This window comes from Homo sapiens, chromosome 6, assembly GCF_000001405.40.
Source record: "Homo sapiens chromosome 6, GRCh38.p14 Primary Assembly".
NCBI lineage: Eukaryota > Metazoa > Chordata > Mammalia > Primates > Hominidae > Homo > Homo sapiens.
The window spans coordinates 84,689,148-84,715,436 of NC_000006.12; the positions used below are offsets into that span (position 1 = coordinate 84,689,148).

General features: G+C 39.3%; 1 long non-coding RNA gene across 3 annotated transcripts; it reads left to right on the plus strand.

Annotated features, from left to right (window-relative positions):
- TBX18-AS1 (TBX18 antisense RNA 1) lies at positions 311-20,387 on the plus strand. Of its 3 annotated transcripts, none has more exons than NR_125875.1 (3): positions 311-448; positions 5,763-5,961; positions 20,121-20,387. It is a non-coding gene; the product is annotated as a TBX18 antisense RNA 1 (long non-coding RNA). The 3 variants fall into 3 exon arrangements; NR_125876.1 differs by having other exon boundaries at positions 311-414; NR_125877.1 differs by having other exon boundaries at positions 311-414; positions 5,909-5,961.

The following is a 26,289-nucleotide window of genomic DNA, read 5'->3' on the forward strand; positions in this document are numbered from 1 at the left end:
GATGGAACATAGGATAAGATAGCTTAGGACAGGACAGGATAGAAAATATCACACTGCTTCATTTTTTTTTTATTGGTGTTCACAGAAGCCAGCATTCATTGATGTTTTTACAACTTCCCCAGGTCTACCAGGCTTCTTGATCTCACTTCTTCTAGAAGAAAACCCAGCCAAGGTGGTACAAGCTGTAGACAGTGCCACCCAGACACAGCTCCACAGTCCATTGTATAGGATGCTGTCAGTTGTCCTGCCCTTTAAGTGCATTGTGAGGTCACTGTCCACCTCAATTCATCAGGAGAGACCTAGTGTGGGTGTAGGGGTGCCTGAGGAGAAAGGGGTGCTGGTTCTTCCTTATATCCCCTGCCTGCCTCAGCTGGGCTCTGACCCAGCCAGCAGACTGGAGTCCTCTTCTGCATGGTATATTCTTTCCTGAGACTTTTGTTTCAGTTAGGTGTGTGTGTGTTTCTGTTTTTGTGTGTGCATGTGTGTGTCTTAAAATATAGTTCTATGTATTGTGTCTAGAAGAATGTTTGATAAACACTGGATTGAATGATCTCTCAGATTTCCTCTAGCTCTACTCATGTGGAATTTGGTAAGCTATACAGACACCATTCTGATAAGCCTACACTCTGGGTGGGTCCATTCCAGACCTCATACACTACACTAATGAATATGAATCTATTTTTATGTGACTTGAGGCCATTGAAATTTTGTGTACATTTATGTTCATGTATTAATGTGCAAGTGTATTCGTGTTTTTATCTCACCTGATACAGGACCTAACCACTGCCAGCACTGAAGTACAATGTGACTCACTATAGCAAAACAAAAAAGCAGTAGAGATCAATGGCCTTCAACACTGAAGAAATTAGTTTCTAGAGAAGCCTGGGGCTATGTTTCAGTGCCTAGGGCTATGTTTGCTTGATGTAGAGAAGGAATAAGAGAAGGGACATACATGTATTGCTATACTCTGGTACCCATAAAGAATGATCCTTTGGGAATATGCCACTGTTAAAGTAGTTGTTTATAGAACTGAGCTACATGGTCTTGTGACTTGAAAACACTTGAAACAAGAGTATAACTGCTACACAATCATTTCAAAATTCCTGTTTTACTCACTGTTTTATTCTTTGGGAGTAGCACTGTGCCCAGGACACAGTAGACATCATAAAATGTCTGTTGGAGTCTTATATAACTTTGCTAGCCACGGGGGAATCTTCTATTTCAGTAGGTTGGCCCTTGGTTCCTTCTAATTACTTAAAGTCAGGAAGGACTGTGATATCCACCCCATTAGCCAGAATCTAGTCACACAACACCAACCTAACATAAGGAGGTTCATATCAATGAAATAAACATGGATATTTAGTGAGTACTAATATTCTCCATTAATATGATCACTCCCTCCCTCCTTGAAACACTTTATTAACTTAGCTTTCAGAATACAGCACTCTCTTAGTTTTCCTTTGATCTCGTTGGTATGTCCTTCTAGGTATCCTTTCCGATTCCTTTCCTTTCACTTCTGATCCTTTGCTCAATATGAAGTTCAGTGACTTCATGTAGGTAGCTTGAAATCATTCATGGTGGGACTATTTACACCATGGAAATTGGCAAATGCCACAAATTAGGGCTTTGTCTTCAGAGAGCCAATTGTTCCACATTTACCAGCTCACTACTGGCTCTATTTCTATTTTTTAATGGTTCTGTTTGAAATTGTATTATGCATGTTTAACTTAACAAAGTCTAAAATTTAAAAATGTCTTGAACCCCTTGTGAATGATACAGACCTTAAAATAACTTTTCCTCCACTGAAATTATAAAGTACTTGTCCAATATTTTATTTCTATGTATTTTGTAACACCATAAAATATATGGTGTTATTTTACTTTACACAATGTTTACATTTCTGTTTATCATTTACATTCTCACTGTTTTTGTATCTAGACCATCCTTCTGAGATCAGTCTCCTTTTTCTTGAAATGTAGCCTTCATGACTTCCTGTAGAGTGGATGCTTTGGTAGTAAATTCCCTTCAATTTCTGTAAATTATCTTGTATCTGTAAAAGACTGTATTTTGCCCTCATTCTTCAAAGATGTTTTTGTGTTTTGTTTTTAGTGGGAGGAAGAGAACAGGAGTACAGGTTGACAGTTATCTATCAGCATTTTAAAAACATTATTCCACAGTCTTCTGGCTTCCATTTTTCTCTGTGGAGAACACTGCTGTCATTATAATTGTTGTTCCTGTGTAGGTGATCAACCCTTTCTCTCTGGCTACTTTCTGTATTTTCTCCTTGTCTTAATATTCTGAAAATGTATTGTGATGCTTTTAAGATGGACTTCTTTTTCTTTATCTTGCTGGAGCTATGTTGTTCTCTTTGAAAATGTGTTGTCATAATTTTATTTTATTTTATTTTATTTATTTATTTATTTTTTAATTATACTTTAAGTTTTAGGGTACATGTGCATCAGTTTTGGAAAATTAATACTTGCTACTTTGTTATATTTTGCCTCTCCTCCATTCTCTCAAATCTCTTTTTTCAAACTCTTATTGAACATATGTAAGACCTTCTATTTTTATCTTCTATATCTTTCAACGTTGATATCCCATTTCATTTCATCATCTCTGCAACATTCTAGATAGATTTTTCAGATTATTTTTTCAACTCACGAACTTTCTTTAATTTTGTTTAATCTGTTATTTTTACCCATCAAGTTGTTTTGAATTACAACACTTACAATTGTTTATTTCTAGAAGTTCAGCTTTTTAAAATTACCATATTTGCTTGTCTTTTGTTGTTTGTTCATCTTTTAATTGCATCCTTTATTTTGTTAAATGTTTCAAACTTAGCAGTTCATAGAGGTTCAAATGTATTGTTTATTCTGTCTATTGACTGTCCTTCACATGGCCTACTTTCTAGTGTATTTACTAATTTCTGTATATGAACTCATGGCTTGATATTTTTCTGTGAAAGTCCTACAGCCTTAACTTGGGGAAACATTCCTCCAGAGAAAGTTTTCTTCTGCCCCTGCTGGTGATCGGTGGGCACTTATAACCCAGATCTACTTCAGTCTTCCAGAAGAGTTTAACCAAAGACCCAGGTTCAACTTTCTCTCACTAATATTTCCAGTGCTTACTATCTTCATAACAGTGTTTCTATAGTAACACAGCCTCAAAGTTATCAGAATTCATCCCTCCAGCCTACCTGCAGGATCTGGTACACCCCCTACTGCTCTGACACCCAGCTGCTCCAGCCCTCCTATTGTTCTGGCCCATTCCCTCACATCTGCAGCCTTGATCGCAGCCACCTATGCTCAGCCCAACCCCACTGGAGGCTACTGGCTGCCCTGAACCAAACATAAGGGTGCTCAGCTGTCTTTTAAAATTCAACTTAAACATCATTTCTAAGAGGCCTCTGATGACAATGTCTTACTTATGCCCCTACTTACCCCAATTGGATGTGAGACTGACTCCCTCCTTGCTCCTAGGTAATTTCTTCTTCTTTTTTTTAATTATTTCTAATTCTTGGAAATAGTAAAAAAAAATGCCTAAATACTAATAACAAATTTTTGATATTGCTCTCATGTGCAACAAAACTACCCACATTATATTAAAAAGCAATAATCAGGAATGTTTATTTCTGATCAATTTATTATTTCACTGAATATCCATTCGATTTTTTTATGTTAACAAGACTTTTTTCCAGGTTTATTGAGATATAATTGACAAATAGAAATTGTATATATTTAAGTTGCACAACTTGATGTTTATATGTATATATATGCATTGTGAAATGATAAATGATGCCAAGAATCAAAATAGTTGGATTTATTTTCAACAAAATTGTTTTTAACCTAATTATCACTTATTCCTTTGTGATCCCACTAGATCCTACATGTGTTTTTATATAGCCTCTCCAAACTTTTATTTCTGTACTTGTATCCTAGACTACTAAACTGTCGATTTCTTGGAGGTAGTAACCACTTACCTTTATCCCTAGTAGACAGTAGAATGCCTCATATTTATTATTCACTTAATATGATTAAAGTAATGGATGAAGAGCAACCAGAATAATATTAATACATTTCAGTCTAAGTAAAGTATTCTAGCTTCTGCCTTTGTAAGCAAGTAGGTATATGTTTTGTACATAACTGTTTATGGTTTTTTTAAATTGGGTGCATCTGTTAATATTGGATAATTGCTTATGTATAAAAGCTCTTTGGTCTGTTGCAAAAATGATGATCATGAAATCTAAAACCATGATTGCATAGCTCACAGTTTTTACAAAAGAGAGCGCTCAAGGAAAAAAATGTGGTTTCTACTTCAATTCAGTTTGCCCTCTCTGGAATCACATTCCACCTAATTATATATTACAAAAATATGTTGAATTTTCCACCTACTGGGACTTGGTGAGATGAATCTAAGGATGACTTGTCAAAATCCTAGGTTTCAAATTCAAATGAATTCTGAAACCTAGGATTTATCAGATTTCAGTTGTTTTGCCAGATCTTCCTTAATTCTTTTATCCTCAGTTTTCTTAAACAAATGCTTTTTTTTGAGGGAAGAGAGAGCAGAGGCTGTAATTTTCCCACAATATACTTCAATAAATATTTATTGAATTGAATATCAGTCTTTATTCATGCTGATTCTATTGATCTACTTCATGAAACAATTTACACATTCTATTAAAAGCTATTAAAAGTTGAACATAATAAATAGGGTCCCACAAATATTGTCTATTGCATCCAAAAGTAATAGATTTACATTTCTGATTCTACAAAGTTCCTATATTTGATGTCAACATCTTAACAAGCATGGCTAATGACGATGTCTGGTGTATTTCTTTAAAAGGTTGGTAATCCTTTCTAGATTAAAATGTCCAAATCATTGAGCAAAAGAAACTAAATTTCATTATCATTGATCCTATTACAAAAATAAGTAAGGTGGTACAATCAATTTTGAAAGAAAAACTAGAGCAATCTTAGATTGTGTGCTAATGTTAGCAAAAATGACAGAATATGCAGATTCAAATCCATGTAGGATGCAGTAGCCAAAGTTTTTTTGAATTCATTAGTTTTCCATTTTGATGGTATATAGTAGGGAGCAGACTAGTAAGTAAAGTAGTGAGACAGATCTGCTGAGATCTCATGGGCATGTCATCTTTCCTGGGGATTCCCAAATAGAGTCAGTGGGAAAGGGTGAGGGGTGGTAAAGGAGCTTCCTGTCAGATTGTTCTGTGCATTTTTATTCTATAATATTCCTGCTGGACCCCAAGAAAATATGACCATGGGATGGGACAAGCAAGAAAGATTGCTAACAGTGTGTCTTATCTTCACTTTCCTTGTTTAATAATTACCTTTAGGATATAAACTATCCTAGATAGTATTTTAAGTGCACTCCATATTTTAAAGGCCCAAATAAAAATTGAGTGCAAATGAATAACCCTTTTATAATGAAGAAACAATGATTTTAAATACAATAGTTTCCGTACTATATACTGTATACTTGATATAATGGCAACTTTGCCCCCCAGCTCTACCAAATAGCCTAGAGTACTTCATTGTCATTTTTTATGTCTAATGCCACCCAAACTTTTTAATAGAAATCTCACTGGTCAGTGTGTATACTTAACGTGGTGATGCTGTGCTATATAAGCTATTGTAAGTGCTGATTATGTGCCAGGCACCATTATAAGTGCTTTACATTTATGAGATGATTTGACCTTACAAAATCTCTGTGAAGTAAGTGCTGTTATTATCCTCTTTTTACAGGTAAGGAAACTGAGGCTTAGAGGAGTTATGAAATTGCCCAAGGTTTCACAGCTGAAATGTATAAGGACCTGGACTTGCAAATTTGGCACAAAGTTCTTCTAATAAGAGGCCATAAAATAACCAAATGATTTTTTATGTGCCTATAGAACCAAAAGAACTATTTCAGAATGTCAGCTGAAAAGCACGATATTCCAGATAGGTAAGAAAGTCAAAGCTCAGGAGAATTAAAGTTCTGTGGACTATCAACTTTCCTCAATTTTCCTTCTCTTCTAGGGGCTTCTTTACTCCTAGAATAGAAAAGCTTGGAGAATCCGTAGGAAGTTAAAGACAAAGTCAATATCTCCTGTTGAAAGTCAGGGTGAAATCATATATCTTATGTATTGTTAATTCTTCCCACAGAGGTATTTTAGAATAAGTCCCGTCTAATTGCATGGTAAATAGCACCTTGTTTATCCCAATGGGAAATGAGTTGGAGCATCCAACCCTCACACCCTTAGTTTAAATTATTTCTCTTCGTAAAGTCATAAGACATATGCTATGGTTTGAGTCTGCCCAGCAGCTGTCTATATGTTGGACATGTGCATTTGTTGTTAACCTCCTCTTGTTAACTTTTTTTTTGGCATAAGTAGTAGTTTCGTTGTTCATAGTGCAATAGCAATTAACATAATTGCAGATATGCTTCAAGATTTTCAAGATGAATGGCTCTATTTCCACTCAATTGGACAATAGCTTCCGCATTCTGGATAAAGCTCTGCCTCACAATAGTTTTGTGTGAAAGGAAAGAGAAAGAGTCAGGGTAGAGATAGGAACATTTTCAATGTATTCAAATACCATTGAGGTATGGTGCGTACGTAAATATATATATGTGTGTATATATATATGCATATATACATACATGTACTAAATTTGCATTTGACTAAATACAATCACTGTAACTGCTTTCATTATATTGTCTTGTCCCCTTCTATCCTCAACCAGTATAAAATACTTGATATCCATCAGGTTGATTGGAAAGGGAAGGCTATGGTTGACAATACATATTCATAAGTTGTGGACTTACTTTATTGAATAATCAATTTTGGAAAATAATAGCACAAAAATCAGCACATAGGCAACAAATGTGAAAAATGCCTGGTAACAGCCTGTGTTGCAGAATTTCTGTCTTGGCCAAAATTTATAGTCAAAATGAGGAAGACATAAAAGAAGAAATATTTTTGGATCTCAGACATAGATCATGAGGGAGAGAGGAAGAGCAAGCAGTCTTTAGACAAGACAAAAAGTAATGAAAAAGTATTTCTAGTTCAACAGTATTTGGGGGAGTTAAGCTTGGGAAACATTTCTGATGGACTAGCATTTGGGATGCCAAGCAATCAACAAGGGGTAATCTGGGGAGGCCATTTCATCCTTCATTCCATTGGAGGCAAAATCGTGTTGATGTATAAATGTACCTCCTGGTTTCCAATTGTTCTCACTCAGCAATGAGGCATGAAGCCTGAGAAACCACAGATATTTGGATCTAAGAAGGTATTTTATTTCCCCTCTCCAGAGTGGAAAATACACAAGGGCACTTTATCTTAGTCCTGTGAGTTCTCATAAACCTATAACCCTCTTCCTCTGAGCTTCATGCTCTTTAACTTGATCTGTACATAATTCTATTACCTAAAGTGCCCTTGGTATACACATCCTAGACCAGGTGGAAGATGGGGTCTCTTTCTTCCTCACAGATTTCACATCTTGCCCTTCTAGCCTTTCAGGTGCCAAAAACAGATTATCTTAAAGTGAAGCAGCAGCATAGTTGGACTTTAGCCTCCATATGCTTTAATTTTCTTATCGAAAAGGAGGAAAATTGATTTTTCCTTGCCATACACACACACTTACATACCCCCTTTTTCTCCCCCAAAATCTCCACATCATCTGAATTCTTTAATTCCCAAGACTGAATCAATCCCAATATCGTCTATCAGGGAAAAAGCGAGACAGAGCAATGAATTCAGGGCTTCCCGGAGTGGTTTTTACTTTCCCAAATCCTTAGAGACTTCCCTCTAAAATTTTTTTCCCAGCTGTACTTGGAAGCTATAACAGATCCAGAGGCCATTTTAGAACCTCATTTATATTGTCCTGACACTTAGGAATCCAGTTTCTGTTATAGGGATGTCATCAAAGTTGGTGGGCTCAAAATATGACCTACTTTTTAAAACCCATCTGTTAGGAGCCTATAGATTTTCTTGGTTTGTTTGTTTCTGACTGTCTACAGAAAGGGCAACAGCAACATTCTCACTTTCCAAGCCTACCTCCCAAATAGCAATAAACTAAATACTCACCATGAAGGAGCTGAATGCCTTTCAAATATGCAGCAGGCACAAAGCAAACAAACAAACAAATAAACAACAGTGATACTCCTTAATCTGGAGAAAAAAGGATGAGAGCAGGAAGTACCGTTCAGGTTAATTAATGCACATCTAGACTATTTTAATTTAAAAACTTACTCTGGACCAGATAGAACCAGTTAGCTTGCCACGCCTTTGCCACTGTGTGGTCATGATGTTACGATTCTCTGTAACAATGAGGCTTTTAATACCACACATCTAACAAAGAGGGATTTGGGAACCGCAAGTTGAAGCTGATGAATTCTTTAACATAAATCACTATTACCCATGGATTGGTGAGTTGATCTTCAATGTACCCTTTCATTGATTTTACCCTAGCTAGATGGCTAAAACACACACACACACACACACACACACACACACACACACACACACACAATGAAATCTCTAAATTTCCCCCAAAGTCTATCATTCCTGGATTAGAATAAAGCTACAAATAGGGATGGTGGAAAAAGAGAGAGAAAGAAGTGAGGGAGGAGGAAGGAGGGAGGGGAATGGTGGGGAACAGGGAAAGTGGAAAAGAAGAATAGGACATTCATATATACTGGCTGTTTAGCTAAATTGTTTATCTACCTAAAATACACATTGCACATTTTTTATCATTTAATTTTACATCATGCTGACCTCGACCAAACTTTGGTTACTGAGTTACTGATTCAGAAGTAAATTGTAATATGAGTGAGGATCCTATTTTAGAGTCTTTTAATTAAAGTCCAGCTTCCTCATGTCCATGCCTCCCATCTCCAATTCTGTAAAGAATCTTCTTTCCCTATTACTGACCCTGCACTTCACTCTACTCCTGCCAGTTTTGTGCTCAAAACCTGTCAGTGGCTCTGCCTGGCCCACTGGAAAAGTTCTGAGTTAATAGCCTCATGTACAAGGCCCTCTGCCACCTGACTCAAAGCTTCAATTTTAAACTTATATTTACTATGCTTTGATTTGAATGCTCACAAAATAGCTCTTCCACTTCTGGAATTATATTATAATTTAAGTGAGAAGAATAAAACAGGAGAGGAATAAGAAGTAAAAGGTAGACTCTGTACTAGAAAAGCAAACATTTTTCAACAAATCCCTAAAACACACCAATTGATATCTTATTGGCCTGAAGTGTTCATGTAGTTACAAATAGCTGCAAGGAACTCTGGGAACAAATAATTCCCCAAAGAAAACTGAGGTTCTGATAGTAAGGAAGAAAGGAAGAATGGTTATTGGGTAAACAACCTTCAATGTGTACCCAAAAGCCCAAAGCCAGTAGTGGAAGGAGGTTACAAGATATTTTGGTAACAGAAATTATACAAATACATCTGCTGTGCAGGGCTAAGCTCTACATAGTAGCCTATGAATTTACACAGGCTTTTGTTATAACAAGTCAACTCTAGGCAGATGGGATATAAAATATCCCAAATTATTACATCCATATATAAATACTTTTATAATTATTTTGCTCTAATTTCTGAGTTCTGAGACCAAGTCATGAATTGCTAACAAACAGAATGTGATATAATGAATAAGTTATAATAACACTGACAACTCAACTATTCTTTTGAATTAAAAGATCTTAGTCCCGGGATAATAATAAATACCAAAATTATCCGATATTTTAGCAAACAGCTTGAGCACAGGCACATTAAGGTGGCTGATATTTTTGTGCTGAATCAAGCAAAAATTACATAAATATTTACCCAGTCTCATAGCCTGAAGGGAATGGATCATGATTAAAATAAATCAGTCTCTTGGCCAGACATGGTGGCTCACGCCTGCAATCCCAACACTTTGGGAGGCTGAGGTGGTCAGATCACCTGAACTCAGGAGTTCGAGACCAGCCTGGCCAACATGGGGAAGCCCCATCTCTACCAAAAAAAAAAAAAAATACAAAAATTACCCAGGCATGATGGTGGGCACATGTAATCCCAGCTACTAGGGAGGCTGAGGCAAGAGAATTGCTTGAACCTTGGAGGTGGAGGTTGCAGTGACTTGAGATTGTGTCACCACACTGCAGCCTAGGCAATAATGTGAGACTCTGTCAAAAAAAAAAAAAAAAGGTGGAGCCAAGATGGCCGAATAGGAACAGCTCCAGTCTACAGCTCCAAGCATGAGTGACACAGAAGACAGGTGATTTCTGCATTTCCAACTGAGGTACCAAGTTCATCTCGCTGGGAAGTGTTGGAAAGTGGGTGCAGGACAGTGGGTGCAGTGCATCGAGTGAGAGCTGAAGCAGGATGAGGCATCGCCTCACCTGGGAAGCACAAGGGGTCAGGGAATTCCCTTTCCTAGTCAAAGAAAGGGGTGACAGACAGCACCTGAAAAATCGGGTCACTCCCACCCTAATACTGCGCTTTTCCAACAGTCTTAGCAAACGGCACACCAGAAGATTATATCCCAAGCCTGGCTCAGAAGGTCCTATGCCCATGGAGCCTCAATCATTGCTAGCACAACAGTCTGAGATCAAACTGCAAGGTGGCAGCAAGGCTGGGGGAGGGGCGCCCGCCATTGCCGAGGCTTGAGTAGGTAAACAAAGCAGCCTGGAAGCTTGAACTGGGTGGAGTCCACCACAGCTCAAGGAGGCCTGCCTGCCTTCCTCTGTAGACTCCACCTCTGGTGAGAGGGCATAGCCAAACAAAAGGCAGCAGAATCCTCTGTAGACTTAAATGTCCCCGTCTGACAGCTTTGAAGAGAGTAGTGGTTCTCCCAGCACGCAGCTGGAGATCTGAGAATGGACAGACTGCCTCCTCAAGTGGGTCCCTGACCCCCGAGTAGCCTAACTGGGAGGAACCCCCCAGAAGGGACAGACTGACACCTCACACAGCCGGGTACTCCTCTGAGACAAAACTTCCAGAGGAATGATCAGGCAGCAACATTTGCTGCTCACTCATATCTGCTGTTCTACAGCCACCACTGCTGATACCCAGGCAAACAGGTCTGGAGTGGACCTCCAGCAAACTCCAACAGACCTGCAGCTGAGGGTCCTGACTGTTAGAAGGAAAACTAATAAACAGAAAGGACATCCACACCAAAAACCCATTTGTACGTCACCATCATCAAAGACCAAAGGTAGATAAAACCGCAAAGATGGGGAAAAAACAGAGCAGAAAAACTGGAAACTCTAAAAATCAGAGCACCTCTCCTCCTCCAAAGGAACACAGCTCCTCACCAGCAACGGAACAAAGCTGGATGGAGAATGACTTTGACGAGTTGAGAGAAGAAGGCTTCAGATGATCAAACTACTCTGAGCTAAAGGAGGAAGTTTGAACCCATGGCAAAGAAGATAAAAACCTTGAAAAAAAAATTAGACAAATGGCTAACTAGAATAACCAATGCAGAGAAGTCATTAAAGGACCTGATGGAGTGGAAAACCATGGCAAAAGAACTACATGATGAAAGCACAAGCCTCAGTAGCCAATTCGATCAACTGGAAGAAACAGTATCAGTGATGGAAGATCAAATGAATGAAATGAAGTGAGAAGAGAAGTTTAGAGAAAAAAGAATAAAAAGAAATGAACAAAGCCTCCAAGAAATATGGGACTATGTGAAAAGACCAAATCTACGTCTGATTGGTGTACCTGAAAGTGATGGGGAGAATTGAACCACTCTGCAGGTTCAGTTGGAAAACACTCTGCAGGATATTATCCAGGAGAACTTCCCCAATCTAGCAAGGCAGGCCAACATTCAGATTCAGGAAATACAGAGAATGCCACAGAGATACTCCTTGAGAAGAGCAACTCCAAGACACATAATTGTCAGATTCACCAAAGTTGAAATGAAGGAAAAAATGTTAAGGGCAGCCAGAGAGAAAGGTCAGGTTATCCACAAAGGGAAGCCCATCAGACTAACAGCTGATCTCTCGGCAGAAACTCTACAAGCCAGAATAGAGTGGGGGCCAATATTCAACATTCTTAAAGAAAAGAATTTTCAACCCAGAATTTCATATCCAGCCAAACAAAGCTTCATAAGTGAAGGAGAAATAAAATCCTTTAGAGACAAGCAAATGCTGAGAGATTTTGTCACCACCAGGCCTGCCCTAAAAGAGCTCCTGAAGGAAAGCACTAAACGTGGAAAGGAACAAATGGTACCAGCCACTGCAAAAACATGCCAAATTGTAAAGACTATCAAGGCTAGGAAGAAACTGCATCAACTAACGAGCAAAATAACCAGCTAACATCATCATGACAGGATCAAATTCACACATAACAATATTAACCTTAAATGTAAATAGGCTAAATGCTCCAATTAAAAGACACAGACTGGCAAATTGGATAAAGAGTCAAGACCCATCAGTGTGCTGTGTTCAGAAAACCCATCTCATGTGCAGAGACACACATAGGCTCAAAATAAAGGGATGGAAGAAGATCTACCAAACAAATGGAAAACAAAAAAAGGCAGGGGTTGCAATCCTAGTCTCTGATAAAAGAGACTGTAAACTAACAAAGACCAAAAGAGACAAAGAAGGTCACTATGTAATGGTAAACGGATCAATTCAACAAGAAGAGCTAACTATCCTAAATATATATGCAACCAATACAGGAGCACCCAGATTCATAAAGCAAGTCCTTAGAGACCTAGAAAGAGACTTAGACTCCCACACAATAATAATGGGAGACTTTAACACCCCACTGTCAACATTAGACAGATCAACGCGACAGAAAGTTAAAAAGGATATCCAGGAATTGAACTCAGCACCAAGTGGACCTAATAGACATCTACAGAACTCCCCACCCCAAATCAACAGAATATACATTCTTCTCAGCACCACACCACACCTATTCCAAAATTGACCACATAGTTGGAAGTAAAGCACTTGTCAGCAAATGTAAAAGAACAGAAATTATAACAAACTGTCTCTCAGACCACAGTGCAATCAAAGTAGAACTCAGGATTAAGAAACTCACTCAGAACTGCTCAACTACATGGAAACTGAACAACCTGCTCCTGAATGACTACTGGGTACATAATGAAATGAAGGCAGAAATAAAGATGTTCTTTGAAACCAACGAGAACAAAGACACAACATACTAGAATCTCTGGGACACATTCAAAGCAGTGTGTAGAGGGAAATTTATACCACTAAATGCCCACAAGAGAAAGCAGGAAAGATCCAAAATTGACACCCTAATATCACAATTAAAAGAATAGAGAAACAAGAGCAAACACATTCAAAAGCTAGCAGAAGGCAAGAAATAACTAAGATCACAGCAGAACTGAAGGAGATAGAGACACAAAAAACCCTTCAAAAAATCAATGAATCCAGGAGCTGGTTTTTTGAAAAGATCAACAAAATTGATAGACTGCTAGCAAGACTAATAAAGAAGAAAAGAGAGAAGAATCAAATAGACACAATAAAAAATGATAAAGGGGATATCACCACCAATCCCACAGAAATACAAACTACCATCAGAGAATACTACAAACACCTCTATGCAAATAAACTAGAAAATCTAGAAGAAATGGATAAATTCCTTGGCAAATACACCCTCCCAAAACTAAACCAGAAAGAAGTTGAATCTCTGAATAGACCAATAACAGGCTCTGAAATTGAGGCAATAATTAATAGCTTACCAACCAAAAAAAAGTCCAGGACCAGATGGATTCACAGCCGAATTCTACCAGAAGTACAAGGAGGAGCTGGTACCATTCCTTCTGAAACTATTCCAATCAATAGAAAAAGGGAATCCTCCCTAACTCATTTTATGAGGCCAGCATCATCTTGATACCAAAACCTGGCAGAGACACAATAAAAAAAGAGAATTTTGGACCAATATCCCTGATGAACATCGATGCAAAAATCTTCAATAAAATACCGGCAAACCAAATCCAGCGGCACATCAAAAAGCTTATCTACCATGATCAAGTGGGCTTCATCCCTGGGATGCAAGCCTGGTTCAACATACGAAAATCAATAAATGTAATCCAGCATATAAACAGAACCAAAGACAAAAACCACATGATTATCTCAATCGATGCAGAAAAGGCCTTCGACAAAATTCAACAACCTTTCATGCTAAAAACTCTCAATAAATTAGGTATTGATGGGATGTATCTCAAAATAATAAGAGCTATCTATGACAAACCCACAGCCAATATCATACTGAATGGGAAAAACTGGAAGCATTCCCTTTGAAAACTGGCACAAGACAAGGATGCCCTCTCTCACCACTCCTATTCAACATAGTGTTGGAAGTTCTGGCCAGGGCAATTAGGCAGGAGAAGGAAATAAAGGGTATTCGATTAGGAAAAGAGGAAGTCAAATTGTCCCTGTTTGCAGATGACATGACTGTATATCTAGAAAACCCCATTGTCTCAGCCCAAAATCTCCTTAAGCTGATAGGCAACTTTAGCAAATCTCAGGATACAAAATCAATGTGCAAAAATCACAAGCATTCTTATACACCAACAACAGACAAACACAGAGCCAAATCATGAGTGAACTCCCATTCACAATTGCTTCAAAGAGAATAAAATACCTAGGAATCCAACTTACAAGGGACGTGAAGGACCTCTTCAAGGAGAACTACAAACGACTGCTCAATGAAATAAAAGAGGATACAAACGAATGGAAGAACATTCCATGCTCCTGGGTAGGAAGAATCAATATCGTGAAGATGGCCATACTGCCCAAGGTAATTTATAGATTCAATGCCATCCCCATCAAGCTACCAACGACTTTCTTCACAGAATTGGAAAGAACTACTTTAAAGTTCATATGGAACCAAAAAACAGCCTGCATTGCCAAGTCAATCCTAAGCCAAAAGAACAAAGCTGGAGACATCATGCTAACTGACTTCAAACTATACTACAAGGCTACAGTAACCAAAACAGCATGGCACTGGTACTAAAACAGATATATAGACCAATGGAGCAGAACAGAGCCCTCAGAAATAATGCTGCATATCTACAACTATCTGATCTTTGACAAACCTGACAAAAACAAGCAATGGGGAAAGGATTTCCTATTTAATAAAAGGTTCTGGGAAAACTGGCTAGCCATATGTAGAAAGCTGAAACTGGATCCCTTCCTTACACCTTATACAAAAATTAATTCAAGATGGATTAAAGACTTAAATGTTAGACCTAAAACCATAAAGACCCTAGAAGAAAACCTAGGCAATACCATTCAGGACATAGGCATGGGCAAGTACTTCATGTCTAAAACACCAAAAGCCATGGAAACAAAAGCCAAAATTGGCAAATGGGATCAAATTAAACTAAAGAGCTTCTGCACAGCAAAAGAAACTACCATCAGAGTGAACAGGCAAACTACAGAATGGGAGAAAATTTTTGCAATCTACTCGTCTGACAAAGGACTAATATCCAGAATCTACAATGAACTCAAATTTACAAGGAAAAAATAAACAACCCCATCAAAAAGTGGGCAAAGGATATGAACAGACACTTCTCAAAAGAAGACATTTATGCAGCCAAAAAACACATGAAAAAATGCTCATCATCACTGGCCATCAGAGAAATGCAAATCAAAACCACAATGAGATACCATCTCACACCAGTTAGAATGGCAATCATTAAAAAGTCAGGAAACAACAGGTGCTGGAGAGGATGTGGAGAAATAGGAACACTTTTACGCTCTTGGTGGGACTGTAAACTAGTTCAACCATTGTGGAAGTCAGTGTGGCGATTCCTCAGGGATCTAGAACTGGAAACACCATTTGACCCAGCCATCCCATTACTGGGTATATACCCAAAGGATTATAAATCATGCTGCTATAAAGACACATGCACAGGTATGTTCACTGTGGCACTATTCACAATAACAAAGACTTGGAACCAACCCAAATGTCCAACAATGATAGACTGGATTAAGAAAATGTGGCACATATACACCATGGAATACTATGCAGCCATAAAAAATGATGAGTTCCTGTCCTTTGTAGGGACATGGATGAAGCTGGAAACCATCATTCTCAGCAAACTATCGCAAGGACAAAAAGCCAAATACTGCATGTTCTCACCCATACGTGGGAATTGAACAATGAGAACACATGGACACAGGAAGGGGAACATCACACACCGGGGCCTGTTGTGGGGTGAGGGGAGGTGGGAGGGATAGCATTAGGAGATATACCTAATGTTAAATAATGAGTTAATGGGTGCAGCACACCAGCATGGCACATGTATAGATATGTAACTAACCTGCACGTTGTGCACATGTACCCTAAAACTTAAAGTATGATAAAAAAAGGAAAAAAATATATAATTCGATTTAAAAATGAAAAAAGTCTATATATGAGAAATTGCATTAAATTTGAAAATAAATGCAAGTACGATATGTATACTGGCTATACTTGCACTATCGACTTGCAAGTATGTCAATTTAAGATAGGTCAAGTCTAGAAGTGAGTATGGGCAGGAGTAATTAATTATCTTTGTGATCTAGACTGTAAGCCTGTAGTGAGTCACATTCTTTATGTCTAAGAACTGTGACTGGTACATAATGCTGAACTGTTGGCTGTAAAATAAAATGAAGTTTTATCATAACCATATTGGCCTATGGTGGAAGTATTCCTGAAAGGAACCAAGGAGAAGTCACTTCTGGGTTTTGCACCAACAGAGAAACTTCCTATCCTTCTTCCTCTGTGTTACCAGTGTCTGCTGATTTCAGCCGGTCTTCTCACTTTTTGATACTCTTAGTTTTGGCTTCCACACTATATTTGCTTTTAAAATGTAAACTCCCAGAGGTCTGTGTTCTTGCTTTAATTTTAGCAAGCTCTAAGCCAACAACAAAGTGTTCTATGCCCAAATCTGAAAAAGCCCAGGCACAGTCCAAGCACTCAGCCTTCCAAAGTATACTTTGCAACTGACTTGCTGTGTTGGCATCAGGCAATTCATCTCTCTCCTTCCATTCATTCATTGCTAAATAGTAATAATAGTCATCCTCACTTACAGCAGTGTTTCCTTTGTCATTAAATATTTACTAAGCATCCACTGCATGACACAAACTTGGAGCTATACAGGCTAAACCAGCCAGATGCTGTCCTTGGCTTCAGAGAGCTTTTATGATACAAAAGACAGGTGGAGGCTGGGCACACAAGTACAGGTTAAGAGTATGCAAACTTGTGTATATGTGCACGTGTGTGTGTCCAAGGAACAAAGGATTGAACCACAGCCCATTTGCTATTTTTTTACTACGTGTGTTAGCCTTGATTTTAGGTTATCTTTGGCCATGAATAAATGGAAATATATGAATTTCAAAAGCATTGAACTTCACACTAGAGAGTAACCAGATTCTACTTCTTTTTCTGTTTTCACAAAGGGCATTCACTAGCATATGCCTAAAGGTACTCACATAGCAGGTACACAATATGACCCCACAGAAGAATAATGAGCAACTAAACATTGACAGTAACAATGAGACTGTGGCCAATGAGATCACACCATGCAATGAGATAGGTTGGTGTTACCTAAGTGCATAATACCACTATGACATTATTCTTTATGGTAGAGGTCAACATAAGACTGAATTGCAATGGTTATTTCTGCTAAGAAAATACTTTCTCTGGACAAAAGAGGGCATTTGGAGAAATGGGAACCAAGAGGGTATAGAATGGAAATTATGCTGTGTTAATATGTCTCCAGCTATGAAGCCCCAGCCATTCCTATTAACCTTGTGTCAATTTGTATTATTTAGAGACAGTCAATTATGTGAGGTACATTATAATTTTTTTAAGCCAGCAATAGTTGGAGGTTGTCATCTGGAACCTAGCTGTGTTTCCTTTGTTTGCTTAATCTATGCTTTTGGTCTTTCTGAAAGATGAAAGTCTGTCATTTTAGCCTCAATGCCTCATAATATGTATGTTAAACTCACCACTGCCTCATTATTTATTAATGTCAATTTATCATACTTCAGTAGAGGATGGAGGCCGAAGCCACAACAGTGACAGATGTTCCAGAAGATCAGCTTATATAATGAGAATTTGGGCCAAATCTGTTGAAAGTGGTGTTTTTTAAAAAAACACACTGACTTCAAAGAAATGAGTTGTGGCATCTGTAACATCTACAGGAGCAGTGCCAGTGGAGGCTAGCGGGTCTGCAGAGGAGCAGCTCAAGTCATGCGATTACTGGAGCTTGCAGCAAAATGACTGGAACAACATCTGGGCTGCAGCAAGCTGGCCAGGACATTTTAAAAGAGCTCCTGTGGTGCCTCCAACTTTGATTTTACAGAGCTGCGGGGAAAGAAACAGGCTGTGTTCAAGAGCTCATGTGTTTTGCCTCACATGTTTTGTCCTTGCTCACTGTGAAGGGCCTCACTCAGCTGGGGACCCTGAGGGACACTCTTGGGCAGTCATTCTCTGTCTACTCTGCTAGCTCTGTAGGTTTGTGCTAGGGTCTGGGCAGGCAATCCCCGCAAAGGGTATAAAATAAGAAATACCTTGCACTAATTCTTAAAATTTACACTTATTCTTTCTCAGCAAGAAACTCTCAAAGGATGCATTTGTGCAAGAAGTTGACACTGATCAGTTAGTTGGTTTTGGATAATATGCTAGTTGGAAACAAAATAGGATGTGTATGTGTGTGTACATCTGTGTGTGTGTGTATGTGTGTGTGTGTGTGTGTATGCATGGTGAGGGAGTGAGGAAATTATGTTCTACAACTGAGAATTAAGAATATCCATTCCCAGTACCCCAGTATGATTCTCAGTATCACAACATCACAGTGTTTAAAAGCACTTTTTCCCTGTCCTCTCTAGAATATTCATTTATTGAACAAATATTATTGTGAACCTAACATGTGTGTGACATATAGTAGAGAGGATCCTGGACAGAGACCACCTGGGACTGAATCCCAGCCTTGTAGCCCACCAGTTTCATGAGCTTCTACTACCAAGATGCTTTGGAAAACATTTATAAGATGCTTTGGAAACCCTGAAGTTCCATAACATAACACAGGAGGTGGGACAGCAGAGTGATGAAAAGCATGGTCCCTGGAGCCAGGATCCTTGGGTGCAAATCTTGACTTTGACACTTACAGGCTGAGTGACTTTGGTCACATTATTTAATCTCTCTTTATTACTCAGTGTTCATGTCTATAAGATGGGGTGATAATAATAGCATATATTACAGAGGCTTGTTGTTAGGAGCAAATGTGTTAATATATAAGATATCTTTAGAATTTTACTTGGCACATACAAACCATTATTAAGTATTTGATCCATTAAAACTCTCTCTCTCTCTCCTGCCCCCATCCCTTCCCCCAAAGCCCATAGTGGCACATGTGTCAGAGCCCTTAGTTGAGGCCTTAGTCAACTCACAACCTCAGATCATATGTAGGGAGGGATATGGGAAAAGAAATGACCTAAACCAGTAAGAAGGAGAATGAGAAAGCTCAGTTCTTTCTCTTTCCTCATTTCTAGTCATAGATGCTTAATGGCATTTGCAAATGCCTACCCAAATATGCCAGCAGCAAAAGGAATTTAAAAATAACTTAAATATGATATAATTTTCATGAGATATTGTATTTAATGCAATCTCCAAAAGTGACACTTATCCTGGTAGGACATTTTAGATTCAAGTGCTTCAAGAACTAACAGAATCATCCCAATGCAGAGGCCCCATAAATGATCACTTTGGGAAAAGCATTTTTTTTCTTTTTATAAACTCAGTAACAGCAGAAACAGATCATAGTCTCTAGAAGCCACAGTGATAATCTTTCCTATACAACCATTTTCACTTCACGATGAAAGATGGTGTTGGGGCCCAGCAGATTTTTCTTGAAGTTTATAATGAGTCAACTACACAGACAAGAAGTCCAGCCTCCTCTTTGATATCTCCCTTTTTCCCCTTATCTAAGCCAACTCAGTGTTACTTTTTATTGGATTTCCATTACTTCAATGTTCTTCATGGAGCCTCAGTTCCTGTAATTATTACAGCTGATGGTAGTTTAGTACTTTGAACATAATTAATTAAATCACTGCATCACACAGGCCAGACATATTTCCATCAAAAGTTGCTATCTTGTCTTCCAGCTTAGAAACCTTGGCATAGTGCCTTCCTGGAAATCCTGGATTGCATCTAAAACCATGTGGCAGAGGGAGAAACAACAGACAGGACATCCTGAGAAGACTCAGGCTGGGACGAAAGCTCTGCTCTCCAGGGACAAAGCAGCAGGGGACCAGCCATGCTCAGAAATACTCCACTGGCCAGTGCACATTTTTTTGAGCAATTTCACTTGCTTCCTCACCACCTGTCCCCCTAACACTTCTATTAAAGTGGCAAATAAATCTGATACCCAATTTCAACTGCACTTTCTTTCCAAAATATATATAACACTAATACACCTGGTGTATTTACTGCTTATTATTAACCAATAATCATTTCCATGGAGTATGAAAGAAATTCCTCTTTTCTCCAACAATCCTCTAAAGATTGTCTTTATATGAGAACATATCCTGGGTCACAACCATTAACCATCTATAAAGAAAGACTCGATTTTTTCCTTTGACTGATGAAGTACTATATGGCTACTACAATGAATATAAGGAAAGAAGTAAAGGATAGTAGCACTTACTAAATACCTATTATATATCAGTCCTATTCTGTGACTTCAAAGATCTTACATTCATATTGTTAATCTAAGGCTAACAAGCTCACGGTAGTGGCTACCACTTTTAAAGCGCTTTCCAATGATCCTGCGTTCCATCTCTGTGTGCTTCTCTTTTCAGTCCTTACGTTTTAAACAAAAGATACTGTTTCGCTACCAGGTACAAAGTACACACAGGTACCAGATATCCTGATGCTCCTACTTCTCATTTTTCCAGTAATTCCTAGGTAAGACTACTTTTGCTAAAGTATTCAACAGAATAACATTACCTTCCCCAGTCATAGAGCTATTTCTCTGACTGATGCTTCATAACTCTGTCCAGTATGGTAGTCACCAGACACATGGCTACTGAGCACTTGAAGTGTGGCTAATGTAGCTGCAGAACTAGAGTTTTAAAATTTTGCTCAATCTTAATTAACATAAGTTTAAATTTTAAACCGAAAGCAGTGTAAAAAGTGAAAATTCACTTACTGTTAGTGTAAAATAGAAACTGGAGCTCAAAGACTAAGTACAAAAACAGTAAAATCCTACAGAATTAAGTTTTATATTAGTTACATGTTTAAATAATAATATTTAAGATACATTGGGTTAAATCAATTATTAAAATTAATTTTACTGTTTTTTCTTTTAATGTGGCCAGTAGAAAATTTTAAATGGCATATGTGGCTCATCTTCTATTTCTATTGGGCAATGATGCTCCAGAAAGAGAATTATAAAAAGAATAGAAAGAGTATTCTCTACACCCGGAATGTATAGGGTGAAGAATAGAGGGGGAAAAAGGAAAAAATACTAATTTAACCCAGCTAACTACATGAAAGAAAAATAATTTTATCTGAGACTAAATCATGGACTCATTATTCCCCATAGGATTAATTTTCCATTCCATGTTCCTCATTAAATCTGACCTTGAGAAATCCTTCACTGGCCACTTCTGGGTGGTAAGATTGCCTTGTGTGATTCTGACTACTCAATGTCTGATCACAACTCACCCCTCTATCCTTTAGTAATCCAGTAGAAGGTTATAGAAGATAAAATTTTATTCATTCATTCATTCATTCATTCATTCATTCATTTATGTCTACATGATCTGAGGTCCATGTTTTTGGATAGCACAATTTGGCATGCAAATATAATAAATAAATTGAGTTTCAAACATTTTTAAAAGTACTTAAATGGTATACTAAACACACAGCTTACAGCAATGGCATTAAATGTCCCGTATGTGGATTTTTTGGGGGGGTGCTTAATGAGATGAAAGGATCACACAAAATGTTTTTGTGAAAATGATTCTGTAAAGTGGGACTGTAGATCAAAGTTCACCACTGTCAAATATACAACTTGAGAACAAACTAAAGTGCTGCTATTAATCATGGTTTCTGGGGATTTGATGACACAGATTAAACTGCTGTAAAGAATACTGCTGTGCATCGTGTTCTTGCAACTGTCATCAGCACTTCTGCCAAGTGTCCACAGATCATGAAGAAAAGCTGCCTAACCTCTACTGGAGGTATCTCTCTCACTGAGCTTAGTCAAGAATATGAATAGCAGGTTTAAGTTCATGACAATACCTCAAAGATACTGTATCTGCAAAGCCACTGCTTTCTTAGGGAAGAAAAGGCTTCATGAGTTTGAGAGGCAAAATGGAGGTGGAACATGAAGCAAGTAAACTGAGATCAGATACCACATGACTTTCATTTCTATCTAACTTTCAATCAGATAGACTTTCCATACATATTCTGTAAAATATTTTAAATAATTTATAATGTGCCATATTTCAGAGGTCTGAGGCTATGTAATTTTTTTTTTTTTTTTTTGAGACAGAGTCTTGCTCTGTTGCCCAGGCTGGAGTGCAGTGGTGCTGTTACTGGGTGGGTCTTTGTTCTTAGAGCTCCTAAGATGGTGGCGGGCCACTCCCAAGATGGGGCAGCAAGCCTTTTATTCTCTGACCTGGGGTTCCTGGCCTCACAGATTCCAAGGAATGGAACCTTGGGCCACGTGGTGAATGTTATAGCTGTATTAGAAGCCATGGGTCACAGAAGAGAACCATGGAACCCAGCAACTAGCGTTTAGCTCGATTAGGATGAACGTAGGCACTTAGCCATGCAGGAACAATGGTGAGACTCTAGCCCGAACGGGAGCGTCAGTGGGTGCCTCGCTGGATCAGAAATGCAGCAGACACCCTGCCAGATCCAGAGGGGTGGAAGTCAATGGCGGGTCTGCAACGGCGGTGAACAGCAGTGGCGGACGGTGAGCGAAAGCTCAGCAGGAGCCAGAACAAACGTGGACCAGAAGAGTGTGCAGTTGCAAGATTTAACAGTGAAAACAGAGCTCCACACAATCGGAGGGGACCCAAAGGGGGTTGCCACTCCCTGCTCGAATACCTGGGTTTGTATCCCGATCATTGACCCTCCCCATGTGCTCTCAGGTGATATATGATTTGACTATTTCTTTACCTCCTGCTTTTAGCCTAATTTGTATTTTAGTGAGCCATCTTTACTACCTGATTGGTCATGTGTGAGCTGAGTTACAAGCCCCGTGTTTAAAGGTGGGAGCAGTCACCTTCCCAAGCTAGGCTTAGGAAGTCTTAGTTGGCCTAGGAAATCCAGCTAGTCCTGTCTCTCAGTACCCCCTCTCAACAGGGAAACCCAAGTGTTGTTGGGGAGGTTGGCCAACAACAGCTTTAACTGCTTCCTGCTGAATTGGGGTGTAGTAGGGGTTGTGCAGTTGAGATTTCCTCAGGAGGGATGCCTTCGATGTCATCAACATTGGAGCATGGGCTAGCAGGCCCGTCCAGGGGTCCACAGTAGATCTTAGTCATGGACTGCATCTGGGGCTCCAATTGAAGAACCATTTGTAGTTTTACAGCTTTGATTCTGGAAGACACAAACTTAACAAGGAGGTTAAAGATACAGGGATTGAAATGTATGGCCTGAAGTGCAGGGGCATATGGGTGTGGGCGGTGAAAGTGGAGTTTGCTTTAGAAAAACTCCTATACTATGGGGCATCAATGTTTCTGGGAAGCCGAATTCTCCATAGAAGCTCTTGGTAAGGGGAGCTACTGGTAGTGCAGTGGCATGGAGAAGGTGCAGTGAGTATGAAAGGGGATAAGAGAACAGTAAAAAGAAAAATATGGCAAGGGAGGGCCATGGGGATCTACGATTCTAGTTACTTTCCTCACAGTTGTCACTTGAAGAGCAGGCACAGATCCTCCAGAGGTTCACAGGAATAGTTAGCGTTGTTTTCTGGATTTTTGGGTTCCTTTGGCAGTATCCAGGGTTTGACTCGAGTGTGATGTATGCAAAACTCCACTCCAGCCACTTTAACTGTGGTTGGGGTAGATAAAAATGACTGGGTAGGGTCCTTCCCAGGATGTATCTAGGGATGGGGAATTAGAGAGAACGGACTTGACTAATACCATGTCACTAGGGTGGAATAGTTCCTTTCCCTCCTCTCGGGGACAGGTTCCCTGTGATGTTTTAAGAACTTGTTGATATTTGGCTAAGGAGGTGATGTCTGCAACTAAGTTGGCCATTTCTCAGTCAAGCACAAGGTCATTGGTTAGGAAGGGCCATCCATATAGCATCTCGTATGGGCTAAGTCCTGCTTTTTGGGGGAGAGTTATGGATTCTTAGTAAGGTTATAGGCAACAGAGCAGGTCATGCAATGTGGGTTTCTTGGGTTAGCTTTTTTAGATCTTTGAGTGTTTCATTCATTTTCTTGACTTTTCTGGAGGATTGTGGCCTCCAGGCACAGTGTAAGTGATATTGTATGCCTAACACCTGGGATACTCCCTGGGTTACTGCAGCCTTGAAAGCGGGGCCATTGTCACCCTGTAATCCTGGGGGAAGTCCAAATCTGGGAATTATTTCATTAGTGCCTTTATTACCTCTTGGGCCTTTTCTGTCCTACAAGGAGAAGACTCCACCCAACCAGTGAAAGTATCTGCCCAGACTAGTAGATGCTGAAATCCCTGACATTTGGGCATGTGGGTAAAATCTAGTTGCCAGTCTTCCCCTGGGTAATGGCCTGTTCTTTGTTCTCCTGAAGGAGCATGGCGATAAGGCAGGGGATTATTTCTTTGGCATGCTTCACGGGCCCTATCTGCTTGATAGTTTTGAAAAGGCCTGGTCCAGTAAATAATGATTTGGCCATCTGATGGGCGCTACCAATGCCTAAGTGAAAGGTCTGGTGAAGGGTTTTAAGAAATTTCCACTGGTTAGCTGCAGGCAAAAATATTTTTCCTTCTTTGGTGGCTAGCCATCCTGAGGGGAGGAAACTATGTCCTCGTGAGGGTCCCCATTCTATTTCTTCTGCTGAGTACTGGGGCTTGGTTTCCTGGAGGAGATTACCTCATACTAGGGGTCCTTCTATAAGCATTTTGAATGGAGGGTCCCAACTTGCAGCTCTTTTGGCTTCAATATCTGCTTGGCGGTTCCCTTCTATTTTCCTTTCTGATGACCCCAGTAGTGTAAGACTGCCACCTCTTTAGGTTCCTGTACAGCCAATAATAATCTCCTAATGGCTTCCTGATGTCTGATAGGTGTTTCCTCAGAAGTTAGGAATTCCCTATCTCTCCATATTGCTGTGTGGGCATGGAGGACTAGGTAAGCATACTTAAGAGTCTGTATATATATTTACCCTTTTCCCTTCTCCTAATTCTAGTGCCCGAGTGAGGGCTATTAATTCTGCCAGCTGAGCGCTAGTTCGTGGAGTGTGGGGATTACTTTCAAGTATTCCATTATCACTGACCACTGCATATCCCACCTTTCAAAGTCCTTTTTCTACAAAGGAGCTTCCATCAGTATACAAGCTGAGTTTGGGATCAGTCAAGGGAACCTCTAGAAAGTCCCCTTGAGCAGCATAGGTTTGCACATTTACTTCTTGACAGTTATGTTCTATCTTTTCTTCATTATCTGGAAGAAATGCAGCTGGATTAAGAGTTGCACAAGTGTACAGTCACAGCACTGACCCTTCAAGTAATACAGCCTGATATTTAAGCAAATGGTTGTCTGACAGCCACAAGTCTCCTTTAGCAGTGAGTATGCCGTTCACATCATGAGATGTCCACACGATAAGATCTCTTCCCTGTATTATCTTAACTGCTTCAGATACTAAGACTGCTACTGCTGCCACTACCCATAAACAATGAGGCCAACCCTTTGCCACTACATCAATTTCCTTACTAAGGTATGCCACAGCTTGCAAGCTGGTTCCTTGGACCTGTATAAGGACTCCTAGAGTTATTCCTGTTTTTTTCTGTGACATATAAAGAAAAGTCTTGCCCTGTTGGCAAGCTTAACACTGGGGCTTGGGTTCGGGCCTTCTTTAGGGCCTGAAAGCCACTTCTGTTTCAGGTGTCCATTCTACTAAATGGGTATCGGCTTTCTGAGTTTCCTTAATTAGTGTTTATAATGGCCTGGCTATTTCACCGTACCTGGAAATCCATATTTGGCAGAAGCCTGTTATGCCAAGGAACCCCCTTAATTGCTTCAGGGTTTTGGGATGAGGATAAGCCAGGATAGACTGGATACATTCCTCACTGAGGGTCCTGGTGCCTTTGGATAGTTGTAGCCCTAAGTATTTATGTAAGCAGG